The sequence below is a fragment of the Homo sapiens genome, chromosome 5 (genome assembly GCF_000001405.40).
Source record: "Homo sapiens chromosome 5, GRCh38.p14 Primary Assembly".
NCBI classification, from domain to species: domain Eukaryota; kingdom Metazoa; phylum Chordata; class Mammalia; order Primates; family Hominidae; genus Homo; species Homo sapiens.
In genome coordinates, this window is record NC_000005.10 from 118350758 (window position 1) to 118372823 (window position 22066).

General features: G+C 36.0%; 1 long non-coding RNA gene across 1 annotated transcript in view; it reads right to left on the bottom strand.

The window, feature by feature from the left end:
* Nucleotides 1-208: 208 nt before the first annotated feature.
* Nucleotides 209-22066, bottom strand: part of LINC02208 (long intergenic non-protein coding RNA 2208) — a 211152-nt gene continuing 189294 nt past the window's right edge. Inside the window, exon 10 of the long non-coding RNA NR_104610.1 lies at nt 209-750. This is a non-coding gene — a long non-coding RNA (long intergenic non-protein coding RNA 2208). The remainder of the gene's footprint in view (nt 751-22066) is intronic.

Consider the following 22066-nt stretch of genomic DNA (forward strand, 5'->3'; position numbering starts at 1 on the left):
GACATGAAAACTTTCTCTAAGAGGCAAAATGAGACAGTCATTTGTACCCACATTGTTTCTCCCTCTCAGGAATCAATACCCTGTTGTCCCTCGTGTCCTATCTCTACAACCCATTGTTAGATATATTTTGTCTGGATTTTTAGTTAAGGTAAATGGGCAAATCCCATCTCTGTCACTCCATTAGGGTCAGAAGCAAAATTCTCACACATTTTTTTTTAAATGTGAAACAACTTTAATGTTTATCCCCCATTACACAGCTTTACAGAGATTGAACATCACTAGAGGTTGAAAGCTCCTTGGACTTAGAGGGTCTTGGGATAGCCAAAGAGGCCAGTTTGCAGCTGCCCCAACACAAAAGACCTTGACCTGAAGCAGCCACTTAAGAGTGATGCTCATCTGGGTGTACTTGCCCAATAGGCCTAGAGGCCATTCAGCTAGTACGGATAGGTTGTTGATGTTTTTCTACCTTCTTAAGGGAAATAAAGCTATAGAGAGTTTCTAGGATGGGGCTTAGGACAAGCAGTGCCTTGGGCATGCAAATGCAGCAGAGCATGCTGTTTCCAGGCTAGGGCAGGATTGAGATGTACTCTTGCACCATGACTTCTTCTGTGAGTGACCTTGCACTCCTTCAATCAAGCCTCAACATCAATCTTGCTTTTCCAGCTTCAACAGGCACTCATGGCTTGCTTCCTTTTCCTATCAGTGCACAGAAATAATCTTGCTTGCTGGGGTCATGTTGTTGTAGCACACCTGGTAATTGAAGAAAAGCAGGACTGGAGATCTGTTTGCCTCTTTGTCTTGCAGAAAACTGAAGGCTGATGTTGTCATGGCACATGTAGACTTATTCCTTTCATTACCATCACATTTGACTATCAAACACTTTAAAAATAATGCATGGTAATTGTCAAAAATTCAAAGAAATGTAAAGTTGAATGTTAAAAGCATCTTCAGACACATGAACATTGTTCAAATATCATTTTATAGGATTCCTATAGGATGTAGGAATATCTAGCATTTTATACATTAATGTGCTGGACTTTATATTACTGGACTTTTCTTTTTTACTCAACCTTGTTTTGTGACCATTTAAATAATGGCATAACATTCATTGATGGGCATAGCAAAATACATGTAGCCATTCCTCAACAGTGAAATATTTTGGTTGTTGAAAGTTTTGGGGCCTGATCTGATTATGCATCTTTATACATAAACTTTTATATGATTCCTTCTTTTCATAGGGAAGATTTATCTGAGCAAGAAAATTTGATCATGTGCTTTTGACATATGTTGACAAAGGTATCAAATTATCCATTACCATTTATGCACAATTTACCATATTCCTTCTAGAATTTTGTATATATAAGTTTAATTCTATCAATTTAATTGGTCAAAATTGTGATTTATCACTATTTAACATGAATTTCTTTACCTGCTACTAAGGTAGAATGTGTGTTCAGATATTGCCTATTTTATTTTATGATTCATCAGTTTTCTCCCTTTGCCTGTTCTATTTTGGACTTTAATGTTTATCTATCTGTAAGGGTTGTTTATGTTTTCAACATCTGGATAGTTACATGTGTTATAAATATGACACAGCTCTTTAATGCGTTTTCTTCACATTCTGAAAACACTCTTGATTATCTGTCAGTATATTATTGGAAGATTCATCTGTGTTCAAATCTTGAACATAATCTTTCTTTGTATGATCTTACATGTTGCCATGTCTCCGTGAGTCTCAGTTTCATCTTATCAAAAATGCATATAACAATACCTGCCTCACAGAATTAATGCATGAGATTACGTAAAATGTTATAAGAGGCAGGAGACATGGCACATAGTTGGAGCACAATACATGTTAGTTTCCCTTCTCTGTATGCAGAGTTTGAATTCTGTAGATATTCCTTGATAAAACCATATATTAACTAATACTAGTTTTCAGTGATGAATTTTTAAAAGACTTTTTTTTTTTTAGTTTTAAGAGATGAGGTCTTGCTACATTACCCAGGCTAGTCTCGAACTCCTGAACTCGTGCGATTTTCCTGCCTCAGCCTCCCCAGTCTCTAGGATTACAAGCATGAGCCACTGTGCCCAGTAAAAGCTTTTTTTTATGCCAAATGACACTGGATAACATTTTTTATTCACTTTTTGTTATGCTATTTGAATTCACATCTTTTCATTGCTATGTTTTCAGACAGTTAGTCTGCAAGTGTGTTAATGTTTATATACCCTGAGGGGATGAGAAAGGGTGTGTGTGTGTGTGTGTGTGAGAGAGAGAGAGAGAAACAGAGAGAGAGGATGAGAAAGGGTGTGTGTGTGTGTGTGTGTGTGTGTGTGTGTGTGTGTGTATGTGAGACAGACAGAGAGAAAGGATGAGAAAAGTTGTGTGTGTGTGTGTGTGTGTGTGTGTGAGAGAGAGAGAGAGAGAGATTAATGACCAATTCACTGCTATATGAATCAGGGCACATTCAATCAAGAGTTTTGGGGGGCTGCTGTACACTTAGCCGGCATAAGTTGTAGAGTTATAAAAGGCCCCCCCTCACCAAAATATCTCCTCTTGATTGGTCTGTCACGTATTTCTAATCTTCCTGTCACTCCTTAAAGACCACCTAAAGGTGATGTGCATTTCAACTAGGCTAAAATGGACTTTTACCTGAGAAGAGTAACATTATCAGAGATTAGTCTATCAAATTATTCCATTAGCACCTATTACCATTTAAAAGAATGCACAGTCCTGAGGGACTGGGACTTAATATAGAAAAGGTTTGATTGCTAGCAGAAGGGCTGAAATCTATGTTGTTGGTGGTGAAATGTTCACTGCAGATACATGAAGTGGAGTGGGAAGTGGGATTTCAGCCTCAGCACCAGTGGGAAGCCTTGAAGACAGACATCAAAGAAGCTTCAATATGTCTGCAGGCATGCAAAGGGCTGTGTCCAAAGGCCACGTGCCTCATGTGTCTGCAGCTGCACAGGCAGATTTAAAGTTATTCTGGCCAGGAAAGGAATTGGGATAGATAAGACCAAAGATTCTACCTTTCTGCTTTTCTATAGCTCCCTACAGTATATACCTCCTAGCACTGAAAATCAAACTGTTAAGACTTTTCTCAGCGGCCAGAGAGACAACCAATTTTCTAGTCATGTCTGAACATACCAGAAAATACATGAATGGGTATGAAGGGCAAATTTTCATCATAAATTCAGAGAGGAAAAACACAGCCATTGTTTAAGTATTATACTATGAACTCTATTATGTGATCAAAGAAAAATTAGTAAAAAAGTTAGTAAAACCATCTCTTAGAATAACTTGCTCTCATAAGTGATTATCAAGTATTTGTATAACACTGAATGCACACTGGGATTGCTCAATGCATAGTTTCTTTTCTATGCAGAGAAAAGACAGTAACAAAGCAAGAGTCAAACACTGAAATACCCACAGTACAAAAAACCCTGAGACTGTTGCTCTGTTCTTCCTACCAGTAATTTATTCACAGCAGCCAACTGCAGAAGAGAAATTTCCTCACCACCAAGGACATTACTTTTTTCCTCATAAGTTCTTTTCACAAAACTTTTCAATATTTCCTATTTGGTTGTTAAACTGCCAGTTGCTCACACAAAATTGAGACTGATCAATTTAACTGATGCTATGCTTAATTTTGAACAGAGTTTGAACAAATTACCTAGCTTTTTTGACATCATATGAGCATGACTGTGTTAATTCTAATATTCCATTTCTTATTAGGATTCAAAAATAGATAAAAGACAGAGAATAAGAATGAAAATAAAACAGAATAATGTTTTAGCCTGCCATCTGAAGACTTATTAACAACTATGGCAAACATTTTGGTACAAAAAGGTTTAAAACTCTTAGCTAGAGGCAATTATGTTGGATTAATTAATATTCATAGCCTAGTGGCTAAGAGAACATGGCTACAGCATTAGCCTGGCACAGGTTACTAGCTCCACCCATCAGCAGCTCTATGACCTTGGCCAGTCACTTAACTTCTCTGCGCCTCAGGTGTTTTTCAGTCAAATGGGGTAATAGTAACACTGCTCTTACAGGATTGCTGTGAGATATGGAAAAGCTATTGCAAATGTGTTTGACTCATGAAAAGAGCCTTATTTAATATTAGCTACTATTATAATCATTATTTACTGATGACTCATAAAGTGCTGCCAGCATGAGGAGAATGAGAGGAACATAATACATGGTCTCTTTCCAAAACCCTTCAGTGTCATGGGGAATAAAAGACCCACTGAGAAAACAATGAGAGAGCAAAGGCACTATGGTTGTATTTCTGACTACTAACTCAATAAAAAACTCCAAGAAGGTCAGGATTAACTTAGACTGCCTTTGCTATAATAGGATTCTTGAAAAGGCAGGCATACAATGCAGGCCTTGAAGAATGACCAGGACTTTTAAAATTGCTTTAGGGTCACCCTTGGACATGTGGTCCCCAGATGTGTTTTGTTTGGCTTATACAGTATTTTTTAAACATTTTAATTAGTTGCCAACATTTAAAATTAGATCACCATCTATTCTACTTCACCCATTTAATTACCTGCCTGGTTCCTGTCATTATTTGAATTTACAACCTGTAATCTATGGACTTAATTCCTATTCTCATTGTCACTGGTAACTATAAGCTTTGGTAAATAGAGAATGATTTATTTTCTTCATATAGTGTCACAAAGTTCTGCTCCACTGAATACTAACAAGCGTTCATAAAAATTACTTTTTAAAAAGTAGTCTTTCTTCTTAGAAACTGATTTCTAACCAATCTAATTTGGACTGGATTCAAGGAAAAATTACAAAAAGTATTATGATTATGATTTCTTCACCTGTTTTGTCTCTATTGTTCCATTTTTGCTGAAGTATTGAATTAGAACTTAATGAGCTATGTATTATAGGCAGAAAAAGAATAGTATGGTGCAATGCATTGGGAGAATTTAACACAAATCATTGCAAAAAGTGGCAACAAGACAAAAACTTCCTAGAGACTATTTGGTCTTGGCTAAAGCTGAAAGGGCTGCCAGCATGCATTTGGGAAAGGATAAGCTTCTAAGAAGAAAGACTACTTTTTAAAAACTAATTTTTATGAACACTTGTTATAAGCGTCTATCTACAAGCTAATCTGATTACCCCCATTGATGAAGGATGGATACCATGCCCCATAAGCCTCCAGGTATCCAAGCACACAACACTCAGCATTGGACAGATGAGATCAACAGCAGTTTATTAGTCCCGTGTACTCACAGCCTCGGGGAGAAGAACACTGTGTGTGCCATGCAGCCCCATCTGGGGGTTACACTCAAGTAGAGTGAACAAGCAGGGGCTGTGGGAAGCAGGCTTTGCAGTGACAAGAGGGTAAGATAACCCTTGGTTCCCATGGGAGAATGTCCCTGGCTTGTTTGAATAATTTTGCTGGCTAGCAAGGCATACCTGCCAAGACCAGGGAACTCATAGCTAGTTCCTAGAACCTTGTGAGGCTCAAAATGTCAAGGCAATGCATGGAATTTCAGGTGTTACAAATGCATATATGTACATATTTTACTATTTACTCTGATATTTTAAAATCAGTAGGGAATTGGGTAAGTTTCTAACTAATGGTTTTTATGTCCCAAATACATCTCTGTTGAGAGCAAGGTATTGGATTTTCAAATATGCATTTTTGATAAACTATCATGTATAGTTTTATCCATTTAAAATATTGTAATATAAATGTTTTTTCTGTAGTTCTGTATCCAGTAAACTAAGACCATGCCTTTCCACAGCATCTCTGATTTTTCAGTAAATTCCCACAAACCGTGCTCAATAAGTTCAAAGATACAAGCTCTATGCTCCAAGCCTCAATTCTTTGTTCATTTTTTTTACAATTCCTTATAGCATTTCCTTTAACATCACCTTGGTTTCACTACTTTAAAATTGCCTTTTTATTATCTACAGGACATGATTCACACTCATTGCGGCTATCTGAGAGTCTGACACCCTGCACAGAGAGATAGCTGGATGTCTATAATGCCCAGTCAAAGGGAAAGTATAAAAGGAATAAGCACCAAGTGTGGTATATGATAAAAATGATCTCCTCTACAGCATAAACTACTTCTCTGAAGCCCTGGGAACTTCAAGATGTCAGTTTATATATTGCTACTTTCTAAGCTGCATTATGTAATTGAGACCTCTTAAAAATTAATTAAGAACATCAGGTTTTTCTGACAAATGTAGTTGAGAAAAGCAAAGATAATATTGTTCAAAAGAGCTAACTGATCTCAGTCAGGAAGATTCTGTATGATTAAAATTATGGTTACATATTTTCCTAGTTTTTTCAGTTGATGGAACACTTTCTTCTTTCCTATCTGTATGTGCCTTGATATTAATTACTTCAAATACAAACATTTGTGGTGCAGCATATACTTCTTCAAAATGAGTTCTCATCCCCAATATAAAAATTAAAGTATTGCTTTCTCAATATCGTATGTTTCCAAATTTCTATAGAATGATATTTAACTGGGACTTTAAAAAATATTTGGTTTCCAAGCTTTATAAGATAACCAGTGACATGAATCTGTGACTTTTTTAAAGTGGCACAAATAGTATTAACCTTTACAATTATAAGAAACAATAAATATGCCTTCTGATCTACAGGACAGCTTTTTGGCTATCTCATTTTCTTATATATAATCTTTGCCTAAATGTTATCTGTTGGAACACATTTTCTTAGAAGTTCTGATTGTGACAGATAATGAATATGCCGATACTTGAAGAAAATTTTTTCCTTTATCACTGTCTTATTTCTCCACGGTAACCACAGTGCAGTCACTTCAGGGCCAATGCAGAAAGCCTTTGTATAAATGACTATCTTAAAAAAATTCTGAATAAATTTAATATCAAGAAGAGAATTTCTGACTTTCCTTAGAGCTCTTAAATTGATTGAAAATCTAAGACTAATGGCAGACAAATAACTTAATGGGAATGTTTTTAAATGATGATGTAAGCTTGACTACACATCCATCATAATTTTTACTGGATCCTTTTTTATCAGAGAACATCTAAAGCAACCTGGAACACATTTGTTCTTGAATTAAATTAAAAATTATTGTGAAGACCACGTTCTATGCTATGTTTTCATATATCTTAAAAATATTATGTCAGAATTGTCAGCCTGGATAAAAATAATGTATCTTCTTTAATCACATAAACATTAATAGATTTTTTCCAATGTTAGTATATGTGCTACCAATGCACAAGATTTCTTAATTAACCTCTTGTCAAAACCAGTCAATTAATTTTTTAAATTATCTGTATTTGACTTTCTTCTTATTTGTCTTAATGGACAATACTCTCTTAATAAATATGTTCTCTGAGTGGTACATCACACCTTCTAAAAATAATCAAAAATTCAGGAAATGCATTTTATTGCTGAACTTAAAACTAGATGATAGAAGCCTTCTTTACTGGTATTTGTAATGCATAATTTGTTTAAAATTAAGTTTGCATAACCTATATTTTGTTCTATTTTTATAAATCCAAACAATGAGAAAAATTCGGATCTTATTTTATCATTTCAAGACAAGAACAAATGAATGAAGTGTATATATCATATAAATTTGTGTGCTTCAGTGTGTGCCTCTAGTCTGCTCTAGGCCAACAATATTTATAGCATTAAACTAATAATATGCTGTAAATTATAGACATTGAAAAGTGTTATTACTGATTTCACTTTTCATAAGCATAAAGAAACCAATTGCATTATTTTGTACCATAATTATGAATAAATATGTTCCTCTTATTTCTTACTAAATTAATATTTAAAAGTTGCCCATTTTAAAGTACTCCTGTGGATATTTAAAAGAGTATTCAATAGAGGTTGTCCTTAAAGAGATTAAAATATGCTATAGGTGTATAACAATTAAGTTAGTATGCTTCTAATAAAAGTATAGACTATTATATCAATGAAGAAATTAATATGTGAAATTTAAGAAGGCATTGCAAGTGAATAGTGTATTGGAAGATAATTTCAAAGATTATTGTGACAATATTTTAGGCTACTGGGGAAAAGAATCCATTTTCTTCCATATGAAATACCTTACACCAAAACTACAGTTGGCTTAAAGATTTAGTCTAAATCAAAAACTGGAACAAATTAGAAAAAAAAATAGTAAATATTTGCCTGATCATGAGATGAAATAATCTTTCTAAGCAAATGTGGAAAGGCAGAAGCCCCAAAGAACAAGTTCAATAAAAATTCCAAAAGTTGCCACAAATACAGAAGAAAAAAGTTACCATCTTTAATACATGAAAAGAAAAAAATAACTTTTCTGTCCCATTTTAATGGGATACCTTTATTGTACCAACTTTCCTCCTAAAGTCAATTAAAATTGTTAAGTCAGGCATTTTTTTAATATACCTTAAAAGCTTTGAAGAGGTGCCCAGATAGCGGAGAATTGACAGGCCAAATTCCAGGAGGACCAAATTCTAAGAGGATCATATCTGCTTTTGCCCTTAGGGGACTTGCATAAATCTACAAATTTTGGCTAAAGTTAGGCAGCATCATAAACTTTTAAGGGCAGAAATAATTATCTAGAGTCTGTTCTAGGTGGTAAGCATCACAGGAAAATACACCCTGGATTAAGCTGAGACCCCCCCAAGGGGCTACTCAAGGTAAAATGTTCCTTGTGTTACCCAAGAGGAGAATAAAGATACAGATTAACAATAGACTTTGATGAATTAAGATTTGGGATACACATTGTAAATTTAGTGTAACTGCTAAAATTATATAAACTAAGTATATAACACCTAAACTAGTTCAAGAAAAAAATGAAATGATAAGTAATCTATAAGCAGCAAAGAAAAAAATATAGATTGAGTGCCAGTGAGACATAAAATAAGATGCCAGACTTAATTCCAAATATATCAGTAGTTATAGTAAATACAAATGATCTAAATGTTTTAGTTGAATATCAAGGATTATTAAACTGAAGGGAAAATAAGTGTACCTGTATTAATAATTACAAAAGGTTCAGTTTCACCAGGAAGATGTAACAATTATATATGTTCTTATTCCTAATGGCAGAGCCTCAAAATATATAAAGTTAAATTGACAGATTTACATATGAAGAAAAATAAATTCAGTGAGGATTTTAACACAATTCTCAGTAACTTATAGAAAAGAAAGAAAAAACAAGCAGAGATATAAGAGGAACAAAAACAAGTAAATTGACCTACCAGATATATATGGAACCCTATAGTTTACAGTTGCAAAATAAATGTGTTATAAGAGGACATGAGACAGTTTTTTATATTGGGAATATTCAGTTATAAAGCAAAATCCAACAAATTTCAAAAGACTCTTCTGGCCATTATATAATTGAGCCAGAAATCAATTTTTGAAAAGGATAGTTAGAAAATATCTACATATTTGGAAATTACTATTCATAGGTAACCCGCTAATCAAAAACAAATTATAACAGGAAAAAGAAAATAATTTGAACTAAATTTTGGGATGAAACTAAAGTAGGACTTTTTCAAAAAAAATTTTAGATAAAAATTTCATAGCCTTTAATTAATATATTAGAAATAAAGGTTTAAAGATTAAGTATTTATCTCAAAAAGGTAAATTAAAAAGCAGTAAAATACTTTAAAAGATCATAGAAGAAAGGAAATGCTAATTATAACAGAAGAGAATAAGCAAATAGAAAACAAATAGAAAATAGAGACAAGTGGTTAATTAAAAATAATTATAATATAAAAAATTGGGGGAAGTGATAAAAAAAGACACAAATAACCAATATCAGTAATGAAAATGGGATTATCACCTTCGATACTATAGAAACTAAGATGATATTGGATATTTTCAAAACTTTATAATAAATTCAGAATTTTGAATGAAGTGGGCTATTTTCCATAAAAAGATATCTTACAAAAACTCAAAAGAGAGAGAAGGTAGGGAAACAGATTGAATGAGATCCTGAAATTTTTCTGTCATCATTAAATAAATTGAATGTAGTTTAAATAAGTCTTTTTTACAAAGAAACTTTTAGTCTCATATGGCTTCATTGGAAATCTCTTCCAAAAACTAATGGATATAAAAATTTCCTGTTACATGATCTTATCAGAAAAAAAAAACAAACAAAAAGAGGTAATAAACCCAACTCATTTTCAAATAACATAATCTTGAAACCAAAATTCAACAAGGAAAAAAATGAAGTTAAATTACTTACCATTTTCATTTATAAACATATAAGCAAAAAAAATCTTAAAATCAAAAAATAAGGCACAGCAATGGTTCATGCCTGTAATCCCAGTAATTCAGGAGGCTAAGGTGGGAAAATCACTTGAGCTCAGGGGTTTGAGACCAGTCTGGGCAACATAGCAAGAATCTGTCTCTACAATAATAGAAGAAAAGAAAACATCGCAGCCACTCAGGAGGCTGAGACAGGAGGATCACCTGAGCCCAGGAATGTGAGGCTGCAGTGGGCTATGATTAAGCTACTGCACTCCAGCCTGGGTGATGAAGCAAGGTCTCATCTCAAAAAAAAAAAAAAAAGAGAGAAAGAAAGGCAAAATTAAATCTGACAGTATAACACATCAAAACCAAATGGCTGTAACAAGAGTACAAGGTTGCGATCTACCCAGTCTAATATCCAGAGTCTACAAGGAACTTAAATAAATTTACAAAAAAAAAAAAAAGAAAAGAAAAGAAAGAAAAAACAAAACAACCCCATTAAAAAGTAGGCAAAGGGCTGGGCACAATGGCTCACGCCTGTAATCCCAGCACTTTGGGAGACTGAGGCGGCCAGATCACAAGCTGAGGTCAGAAGTTCAAGACCAGCCTGGCCAACAAGGTGAAACCCTCTCTCCACTAAAAATACTAAAATTAGCCAGGTGCGGTGATGGGTGCCTGTAATCCCAACTATTTGGGAGGCTGAGGTCCGAGAATTGCTTGAACCCGGGAGGCAGAGGTTGCAGTGAACCGAGATTGTGCCACTGCACTCCAGCCTGGGTGACAGAGCAAGACTACGTCTTGGAAAAAAAAAAAAAAAACAGTGGGCAAAGGACATGAACAGACACTTCTCAAAATAAGACATTCGAGCAGCCAAAAAAATTAAAGAAAGCTCAACATCACTGATCATTAAAGAAATGCAAATTAAAATCTCAATGACAGACCATCTCACACCACTAAGAATGGCAATTATTAAAAAGTCAAGAATCAACAGACGCTAGTAAGGTTTCAGAGAAAAAGAAACATTTTACACTGTTGGTGGGAGAGTAAATTAGTTCAACCATTGTGTAAGACAGGGTGGCAACTCCTCAAAGATCTAGAAGCAGAAATACCATTTGACACAGCAATTCCATTACTTTCTATATATACCCAAAAATATATAAATCATTCTATTATAAAGATACATGCAATTATATGTTCATTGCAGCACTATTCACAATAGCAAAGACATAGAATAAACCCAAATGCCCATCAACGATAGACTGGATAAAGAAAATGTGGTACACATACACCATGGAATACTATGCAGCCATAAAAAGGAATGAGATCATGTATTCTGCAGGGACAAAGATGCAACTGGAAATCATTTTCCTCAAAAAACTAACAAAGCAACAGAAAACCAAACACCACATGTTCTCATGTATAAGTGGGAGCTGGAAAATGAGAACATATGGACACATGTGGGAGGAACAACTCACACTGGGGGCTGTCGGTGTAGGGGGAGGAGGGAGAGCACCAGGAAGAATAGCTAATGGATACTGGGCTTAATACCTAGGTAATGTCTTTATCTGTGCAGCAAACCGTTATGGCACACCTTTACCTATGTAGCGAACTTGCACATACTGCACATGTACTCCAGAACTTAAAATAAATGTTGCAGGGACAAAAAAGTATTCCCTTCAATGTGAGATCTTTCTTTTTATTCTAGTATTTTTTTATAAACTGGTCAAACACATCAGCTGTCTTGTTAGTCCTAAATGTTCTTTGTGATCTTACTTCCAGTCACATCTCCTTGTCAGACTACCTGACACTCCTTAAGCAATCCACTGTATCAAAAAATTCTATTCCTGTCCTTTTTACTTTGATACACTTCAACCTAGCTCTATTTCCTTGCTATAGCTGTTACACACTTTCTTCTCTAAAGCAATTGGGAGTCCAGTGACAGGCCTCTAGCTGAGTCTTTCCCAGTCAAGTGTAAACCCATCCCTACTTCCTGCTCCTGGTTCTATTCATCTCCTCAGTCATCTGCATTGCTGACCTACTTCCAGCTTCCCAACATCTCCAGGAGTAATAGCTTCTACTCTTCTTAGGGGCTGCCAACATCTCCTTCATTTTTTTTGTAGGGGTCATCTCTGCCTGTATCATATTTGCACAGCTCATGCTCTGCAGGTTAGGAGAGACCAGTTGCTAGAACTGACTTCAGGGGACCCAGGCAGCACAGTGATTCATACCCAACCCTTCAGAAAGAGAATCCCAAAGAGACTAAGGATATGTGTATTTGTTCCAACAACTGCAGAGTCCACTTAGGTTCAGAGGAGCCTGTGTACTCTGAAAATTACAGAACCCTTCTGTATCATGATTGGATTTCTACTTACCCTCTTGGTCTGAGGAGGAATCTACAGGCAAAGGGTATGCCAATCCTCCAACTCTGGGCTTGAGAAAGGAGAAAGATCTTACAGGATGGACTTACCAACATCAGGCAGCCATATTTTTGTAAAGGAAAGGATAGCCTACTTTCTATTTCACAATTTAAGGTGGCTAAGTTTTCCCAGTGTGTGACATGACACACTTGTGTATCATTTTGCAGAACACCATGATGTCCTTTATCCGTGCCACCTGATATGAGTATCTCTGGGAGGCTTAGCTGAAACAGTGTAGCGTAGCAATTTTATATTTGTATATAATCTTCCAGATTTCTGTGTTGCTATGCCAGTCAGTTTATTATCCTCTTGAGCATCTGAGAGTGCAAGGAATCTTCTGATCAAACTGCTGCAGGAGTGCAAGCTATGTCTCTCCCACTAACCTGTTGCCTGTCATGAACTCTCCATGGGAAATCTCTGCTTGCTATTAAGTTCTATACTGTGCACACAATCCAAGCAAGAAACGAAAACAATGGTTTCTCTATAATTGAATGCCAGTGTTTTTGCTTTTCCCATCACTAATTTCTGTGGAATATACTGTATTTATACATTTAACCTAACCTCAAATGCCTTCCTCCATGTCGGATTCAACTGTCAAATGTCTCTCAAGATTATCTATCTACAGTAGAGATTAATAATGCCTCAGTCAGGTGGACTATGTATTTAAAAACAAGTTTTTTGACAATATAATTATAACACAACTATACCATAAATATTTTCCACGCTGAAAACACATCATTCCTTCCTATACCAGTACCCCAATAGTCAAGACAATGAACCAAAGTCAGTCAGATATGTCTGGAACATAAATTATTCATAATTTTCACACATTACCCAAAATTTAATTATCGATGGCTTTTTTCTGTTTTACCGTAGCCAATTTACTTTGACTGATGGTATTTTTTAGAGTACTAATAATTTGGATATGGTTTTAGAAATAGAAATTCTCCAAAGTAAACTTCAGGGGTTCATCTCATGATCCTTTTATCTCCCCCTTCTCTGTGGTCTTTCAAAAGAATTCCCACGACTATAACATCAAGAATAATTAAGAATCACTGTTAGCAATCTCAGTCACTGTGTAACACTTTATGTTCATTGCCAAATACATTTATTTTTAAACTAATTTCTACTTCTATTATTATCATTACTGCTTATTAGTAAGTGATAACATATATGGCTTTCTCACGTTCATGAAAGTTTCACCGTTGTTAAATTTCAGAGCAAGAGTTTAATACTGAAAGAGAAAATGTATTTAAAGTAATAGATAAGAATTTTATGTGCTAAATATGACCTTTTATTTCATAACAGGACTAAGAACAGCACCTTCTAATCACACTTTGTAGATCAGGTTTGAGGAGTTAAGAGCAGATTAAAAGACCCAGAGTAATGACCTTATTCTTAAATGATTTAAAAGATCCAAAGACCAAGACTAACAGTCCAAATGCAAATTTCGTAAGGACACAATGAGGAGGAGAACAGGAATATATAGTAGACAAGGGAGGTGGTCATAGAAGTACTCAAGACTCTACTTCCTGTTCCCAGCCTGCTGGAATGTTAAGGTCCACTAAGAGTTAGACAAGAATTCCCTCAATGGAAGTATTCCAGATTTGTATTAGATGCTACTACAGACAGGTCTCGGACATGAGAGAAATAACTGAAGTACTTTGGTAGTGAAGGAACCCTTTCCCAAGCCCAGCGGGTGACCTGAGGAAAAGAAGAAGGCACTTTCTATAGCACTCTCTGCTCACGTGCCTGCATTTTCTGCAGGAGAATGACTGCTGTCCTGACTTTGATTTCTCTCATGACCTGCCACACTTTCTTTCTAAAAGTAAAAGCAATGTTTTCAATACCTTTTCTCCATTTTAGAAAAATCTTTGCTCTTTCCTAGAATTACACGATTTCCTTTTCAGGCAAAGTCACTTCTAAACTGAACTGGACAAACTATACTTGAGTTAAATATGTTTTTTCAAAGCAGTTTTATTCCATTATCTGAGAATTTAGCACCACTCTGCAGTCCAGAATACACTTTCATTACAGAACTGTCGAAATATAATATGGCCTGCAATAAAACCTGATAAGTAAATAAAGTAACAAAACCAACTTTCTTTTCAAAGAGGAAGTCCAATAATATTTTAACATGTACTTCTGATTCAAGATACTAATATCTGCCTAAATACATTTATTTGCAGTTTGTATGCCTTATTCCCGGGCCAGTACATTATTTGGGTTTAGTTGTGGTTGTTGTTAACATTATAATCAAATTCATAAATAAAAGGGATAGATTTGGCCAGTTAGAAAGGAGCTGAAGTAGAATTGCATGCAAAGCAAATCTCAATGATTTTCTCCGGAATATATAAAAATATTGCCTAAGAATTGAAGGCCACAGCAAGTAGACTATCATCAGTTTCCCTATATTATGGGGAAATGATTTGGAAGTGATTTTCACAATGGAGATTTTTGTTTGCTTTCTACTATAAATGTATATCTTTTTCTTTTACTCACTCTTTCTTGACCCTGCTTCTAAAACTGCATAATCAGCAATGTCTTTCCTGTGTTGCTTTCTATTTGTGAATCTTTCATCACAGTCTATTTCTTGAGGTGACTGTATATATATACGTATATATATATACACGTATATATATATATACGTATATATATATATATATATGTCCCTCACTTTTTTCAAGGCACATGACTACATTTATTTTGTATAAGAAGTATACAAACAAAACATGCAATGGCTCTGTTTTCTTCTAAAAGGTCATATTACATCTTAATTCAAACCAGGAAAATAATTATGTTTTTAAAGAATAATGTACCATGTTAGATTTGGGATGTGCATACAAATAAGAATAAAGAAAAGACAGCAATAAAATTGTGTACTTGTAGAATGTTGTAAAGTGTTGATGAAAGTCTTACCTTCTTTTTCTTAAATAGATAGCCATAACTCACAGGGTTCTTTTTGCAAGTCATTGATGGCACTTCTCTGGCTTCCATGTACTTAAAAGGGTACCTACTAAAATCTAGAAGAATTCATAATTCACTTGCTATCTTCATGCTCATTCTACTGCAAAGATACCATTCAAAATTTCTGGGTTGACAGCTAGCTATTGCTTAGACAACCTTTTAAATCATTTTGAAGTCACAGTTTCTGTCATTAGTAGGCCATACTGACAAATTATCACTGACATATTTACGCTATCAGTGTCATTCCCTGGCAGCCAAGATGTTGGAAAACATACTTGAGTAGCAACACGTATAGGATGTACTAGTTCGCCATCTGGTTGTTTGGGTTTTATGCTGGAGAGAGTTCTTTTGTTTGAACAAGGCAGTGCTGAGATTGTGACTGGTTCAGTGAAATATCACTAAGTGGAACTTTCTATTGCATGTTAATGTAATGAAGGATATGTTGCTTCCTTATAAGAAGAAACTGAATCCTGGTTACATGGCAATATCAACCTTCCTGGGGAAGAGTAAGCCCAGGTCACTAGGAAAACTATATTTTTTCAAATGTCCATTCCCTAAAGGCTATGAATATGTCTAAAAATGTCATCCAAGCGTATGAACCACATTATCTTTGCATTATTACACAGGTTGAACATCTCTTACCCAAAATGCTTAGAAACACAAATGTTTCACATTTCAGATTTTTGGAATTTTGGAATATTTGCATTATACCAAATTGGTTGAGCATCTTTAATCCAAAAACCTGAAGACCATCCAAACACCAACCTTCGATTTCATTAAATTCAAGAGCATTTTAATGCATTATAGTTCACCAACTGAGCATCCAGAATCTGAAATGCTCCAATGAATATGCACGTTGAGCATCATGTTAGTGCTCAAAAATGTTCAATTTTGGAGCATTACAGATTTAGGATTTTTGGATTAGGGACACTCAACCTACACATGTGTAATCTTTCCTTGGACTAAAGCCATTTTTCAAGAGTAATAACTTCAATAATATTCAGATGAATTACATAGTGTCTTAGTCAGTTTAGACTACTATAACAAATACCATAGACTGGTCACATAAGCATCTATTTCTCACAGGCCTAGAGACTGAGAAGTCCAAGATCAAGATGCCAACATATCTGGTCTCTGGCAAGGGCCCTCTTCCTGGTTATATCCCCACATAGAGTGGGGGAAGGCAGAAAGCTCTCTCCATCTCTTCTTATAAGGCACTAATCTCATCATAACAGCTTCACCTTCATGACTTAATTACCTCCAGAAAGCCTCATCTCCAGATATCAATACATCGGGGATTAAGGTTTCAGTATATGAATTTCTTTGGGGGAGACACATACAGTCCATAATACATAGCAAATAAAATGATGTGCACGTACTACTGAAAGGCTTAATGTACAGGCCTTTAGCTATTTTTATATGAAGTCTGATATGTCACATTGTGAGAATATGGTTGTCCACCTACAGTAGAAGTATATATACTGCCTATCAGCACAATCATCAAAATCCTGGGTTTCAATCTCAGCTCTGTCATGATCCATGTATCCTTGAGCAAGTTACTTAACCTTTCTGTGACTTTTATCATCTATAAAATTATTGTAATTATAAAACCCTCGTAATAGGGTTGTTCTGAGGATTAAATGAGAATATACATGTAAAGCACTTGGAAAACAATTCTGGCATTTAATAAGAAGTATGTACATGTTAAATATTACTATTATTATTATCACTACAATTTTAAAAATCCATATATTACTATATACATATATTATATGTGTATATATATACATGTATTATCCATATATTACTTTGCTGTTTGTACAAAGCTTTTTCAAATGAACTATGTTATTCATATGAACTTTTTTTTTCTTTTTTATATTGGAAGCTCTTTGAGGGTGAAGGTTCATGTCTTTTCCCCTTTTTTTTTTTTGATGGAGTCTCACTCTGTCACCCAGGCTGGAACGCAGTGGCATGATCTTGGCTCACTGCAAACTCCACCTCCCAGGTTCAAGCAATTCTCCTGCCTCAGCCTATGGAGTAGCTGGGATTACAGGCATGTGCCACCATGCCCAGATAATTTTTGTATTTTTAGTAGAGACAGTGTTTTGCCATGTTGGCCACGCTAGTGTTTACCTCAGGTGATCCGTCCACCTCGGCCTCTCAAAATGTTGGCATAACATGCATGAGCCACTGCACCCAGCCTGTCTTTTCCCTTCTTAAACTCAGTACCAATCACATATAATAATCATGGTCTCTGCTAGACCCACAAACCTCTCCTGGGGGAAACTGCTCAGTCCACCTGGCCCCTGCTGAGACATCTTAAGGTTTGCTCTAACAGATTGTGAAGCCAAACACAGTTCCTCTTCTAGGAATGCAAATTTTGTGATTTGGAGAGAATCCGTGGGGCAACAGCCACTGAGAGATTACATCAGGAGATGATACCAATAGAATAGGGGCCATGGGGGTCATTATGTGTGAGAGATTTCTAAGAAAGTAAGGTATATTGACTGTTTTCTTATTTTTTCATATTTTTAACCACCTGGCATCTGGGTCCTTGCTGACCTCAGGAAGAACTGCCCCTAAAAGGGCTAGCTTATTCCTAAAGACAGTAAAGGACTTGCCCGTGATCACTCTTTGATACATAAACCAACCAATCTAGAGCCCTTACCTCTAGCTACCTCCTGTATCAGCTCTCACACCTCTCTCCCCTGACCTAGTCACCACAGGGCAAGGTAACAACCAGGACAGCCCTTATAGCCCAGGGCCCACAAAAATCATTCAAACTAACCAATCCGAAGCCTGCTTACCTTGCTTCACTTCTTTCTTCCCAAGAAAACCACAATAAAGGATTCAACCCACTAAGGCCTCTCCCCGCGACCTTCTGCCTTCTCCTCTCTCCTTGCTGCTTCCCCATGTGGCCCTGCATGGAGGGTTGTGCCTCCTATTTCCAGGGAACTGTGAGTATAATAAACAGTTCTTCCTTCATGGCAATCTTTTCTGTGTCTGAGTGTCTTACTATATATTATTAAAACAAATCCTAGGTGCCATTAAAACAAAAGGCACTCTCCTGTAGGTTACACTGCTACATACTTTATAAAATAGCTTAAGGGTACAGATTAAAGCGGCCAAAGACACTAGAGTGTGAATGAATAAATGAATTCTGGCTGTGAGAATCAGCAAATACTTCTCAGGAGGTGCAGCAATTGAGTTGCATGTTGAATGACAGGCATATATCCAAAATTTAGAAATATGTTGCATGAAGGGGTGGGAGGATGGGTCAGCAGAAGAAATTGCCTGAGCACAGGTAGAAACAAGTGGGACTATAGATTGAAAAGACTTGAGGAGGCCAGGCGCAGAGGAAAGGTTGGAGCTAAGATCACATTCATTGAAATATTAGCCGTATATGTTGGCTTTAATAGAGTAGAGAAGGGCTCAAACAAAATGCTAACTTCCAAATGAACCTTTGCAAACCTAATGTTGTCATTGACTTCTCATGTACTCACTAACCTGATAAAAGCTGGTAGCTGGCAGGAGAGGATGTACATACAGACAAGGTGATGATAATGGCTCAGCTTCTGAGGCAGCTTGCCTTGATGGCCTTAACACCATTTCCAGGAGTAAATGTTTCCATCACAGTGTGACAAATGTAATCGGTTTTTGAGGCTGCATTTTCAAAAATTAATAATACACATGCTGTGTGAAAACATTATGCTCAGAGGCATGTTTTTAGAAGTTTCTAATAGAATATCTTAAAGAAATCATCCTAAGATGAAGTCAGAGTTTCACAACGTATGATTCTAGTAATGGTGCATGGGAAATAGATTTATAACTGAAGGGTATGGGAAGGTAACAGCAAACTGGGACATAGTCAGTATTTCTGTTCCATTAATTTTTTAAATTACTTCAATTATATTCTTTTACCAGAGTACAATAGGGAATCAGTTAATAGACATTTATGAAGGATTGAGATGGAAAAGTACACAGACAATATAAGTAATGAACCAGAGAGGAAAAGTAAGCTTCTATCTGTCAAGTCTCATTCAGAAAGCCCTGTGAAAAAATATTCTATAGGCTGAATTATAGGGAACAATTTAACAACAACAGGGTAACAAATCAAAATAGACCTTTCCCTGAATTCATTGATCTAATGGAAAAATCATTTGATTATTATAATTTGATTTTTTTTTTTTTTTTGAGACAGGGTCTTGCTCTGTCACCCAGGCTGGAATGCAGTTGTGTGATCATGGCACACTGCAGCCTCTACCTCCCCAGGCTTAAGCAGTCCTCCCACTTTAGCCTACCAAGAAGCTGCGGCTACAGGTGCGCACCACAAGGCCTGGTTAATTTTTGTAAAGACAGGGTTTCGTCATGTTGCCCAGGCTGGTCTCAAACTCCTGGACTCAAGCTATCTTCCCGCCTCGGCCTCCCAAAGTGCTGGGATTACAAGCATGAGCCACTGTGCCTGGCCTGTAATTTTTAATGGTAGTCATTTGACTTCTAACATACTCTTCAAAAAGCTGTACCTAATTTCTTCATATTGATAGGGGGAAAGTACAGAAACCAAATTATTTGCTCCTTAGATAACCTATGTTTCTATTTCCGCTTGTGTACATACAAACAATGAAGAACTGAGAGGATCAAACATACACTAAATATGGAATTTTGAGGCTATCATACTCCCAAGTAAATGCAAACAAATGCGCTTTGATTAATCCCTAAAAGCCTTAACATGTGCAGCACATCTGGGAAGGAATGCATATTGGGACAAAGAAGACAGAGGAGCTAAGAAGTTTGAGATTTTCTCACCATCAAGCCCAGGTCCTTTTCATGCTTTCATTTAATTGTCATCAGCCTCCTCAGCTAGAATAAAGTATTTTGTAATTCATTAAGCTACAATTAGGGACAGCTTCTGCAGTTTCAGTTACTCATGCATAATGCTATGAAATACTCTTAAATTTATGGTAACATGAAATTTGTTATCTATGACAAATTAATACTTAGGCATACATCAATTGATGAGTTTACAGAACTCTCCAGATCTCTCCATTGGGTGTTAGATAGACCAAAGTAATCAGTATATATTGAGCACCTCCTATGCACCAAGCATTTATCTGATATGTTAGAGATACAAAAAGAACATGACATGGCCCTTTTCCTCAAAGGTTTTACAGGACTTAGTGTTCAGGCAGAAATGTTTAGCTAGCAATAAACTTCCTTAAATGTAAACTGCCAAATGCATGGTTCGGAAAATTGATGTCGTAGGAATTTCCACTTGTGGTCACCACTTTAGTTAGATTAGGTAAAGAAACTTAACTTAGTCTTGAAACAGGTGTCAAAGGATCCAAAGACACAACCAAGGAGTTCTTAATCTATAAGTTGTGTCCACATTTGGGGTAGAGAAAAGCATGCATTCCTGAAGAAGTAAATATATTCCAATGATAGCAAGAAAGTAGATGGCCTTGAGGCATTGTTCCTCTCAGAGATTTCTTATAATTTAGTGGATTAGCAGTTGTTTGTTTGTTCATTTGTTTCTTTTTGACCACCAGAAAGGTCAAGAAAGAGGTCTAGACACAAATACATGGTGCTAAATAACAATGTAGTCTTTCACATACAAAGATGAAGCCATCAGCTGACCAGATACCTAGCTTTTATTCCCTATGGTGACAGGTGTTTCTGATGCATTTAGTTCTATTCTTGCTTGTGGCTCCTTCTGAACAGGTAAACATTTGAGAAGTAATTGCTGGTGAAGAGCACAAGCTATAGAGTGAGAAAACTCTGATTGCACTTTCTAGCTTAGTCACTTACTAGGCATAAGACGTGAGCCAAATTATTTGCTCTCCGTAAGCTTGGGTCTCCTGCTTAGTGAAATGTGAGAGATAAACACTCAAATCAAAGAAGAATTATAAGAATCCAATTCGATAGTGCTTGTGAAGCACCTGATATTTAGTAGGTACTTAAAACAAAAACTGGCTGCTATTCTTGTCATTAATCCTGAAAGCAGGCTCCAGCTATGGAAAACATTCTGTCAAATGACCCTCCCTGCTGCCTCCAGGACTGGCCAACAACCTCATTACCACCAGCTGGTCTAACTGGCCACAAACCAAGGAAAATAGAAAACATCCAAACCAAAATGCTAGATAACTAAAGAAACATCAAAAAAGTAGAACAAATGGGAAAACTGACTGGAAAGGCTCAAATCAGCCAACAAGAAAACAGAGTCCCTATTCTGCAAGGCCATGTGGACACTGAACTGTAAATGGCTTTTGCTAAAAATGTTCATTCATAAGCAAATGCATATATGTTATGCTCTTTCTCCATATTTTAATCCCTTATACAGCTGTTGCCTCACTTTCATATTCCTTTGTTGTAATGCTGCCAGCATTCTCCTTCCTCCCTCCTCATTAAGAAGAATGAATTGAACAAGCTACATGGAGAGATTTACACTGCAAGGGCTGTCAGAGG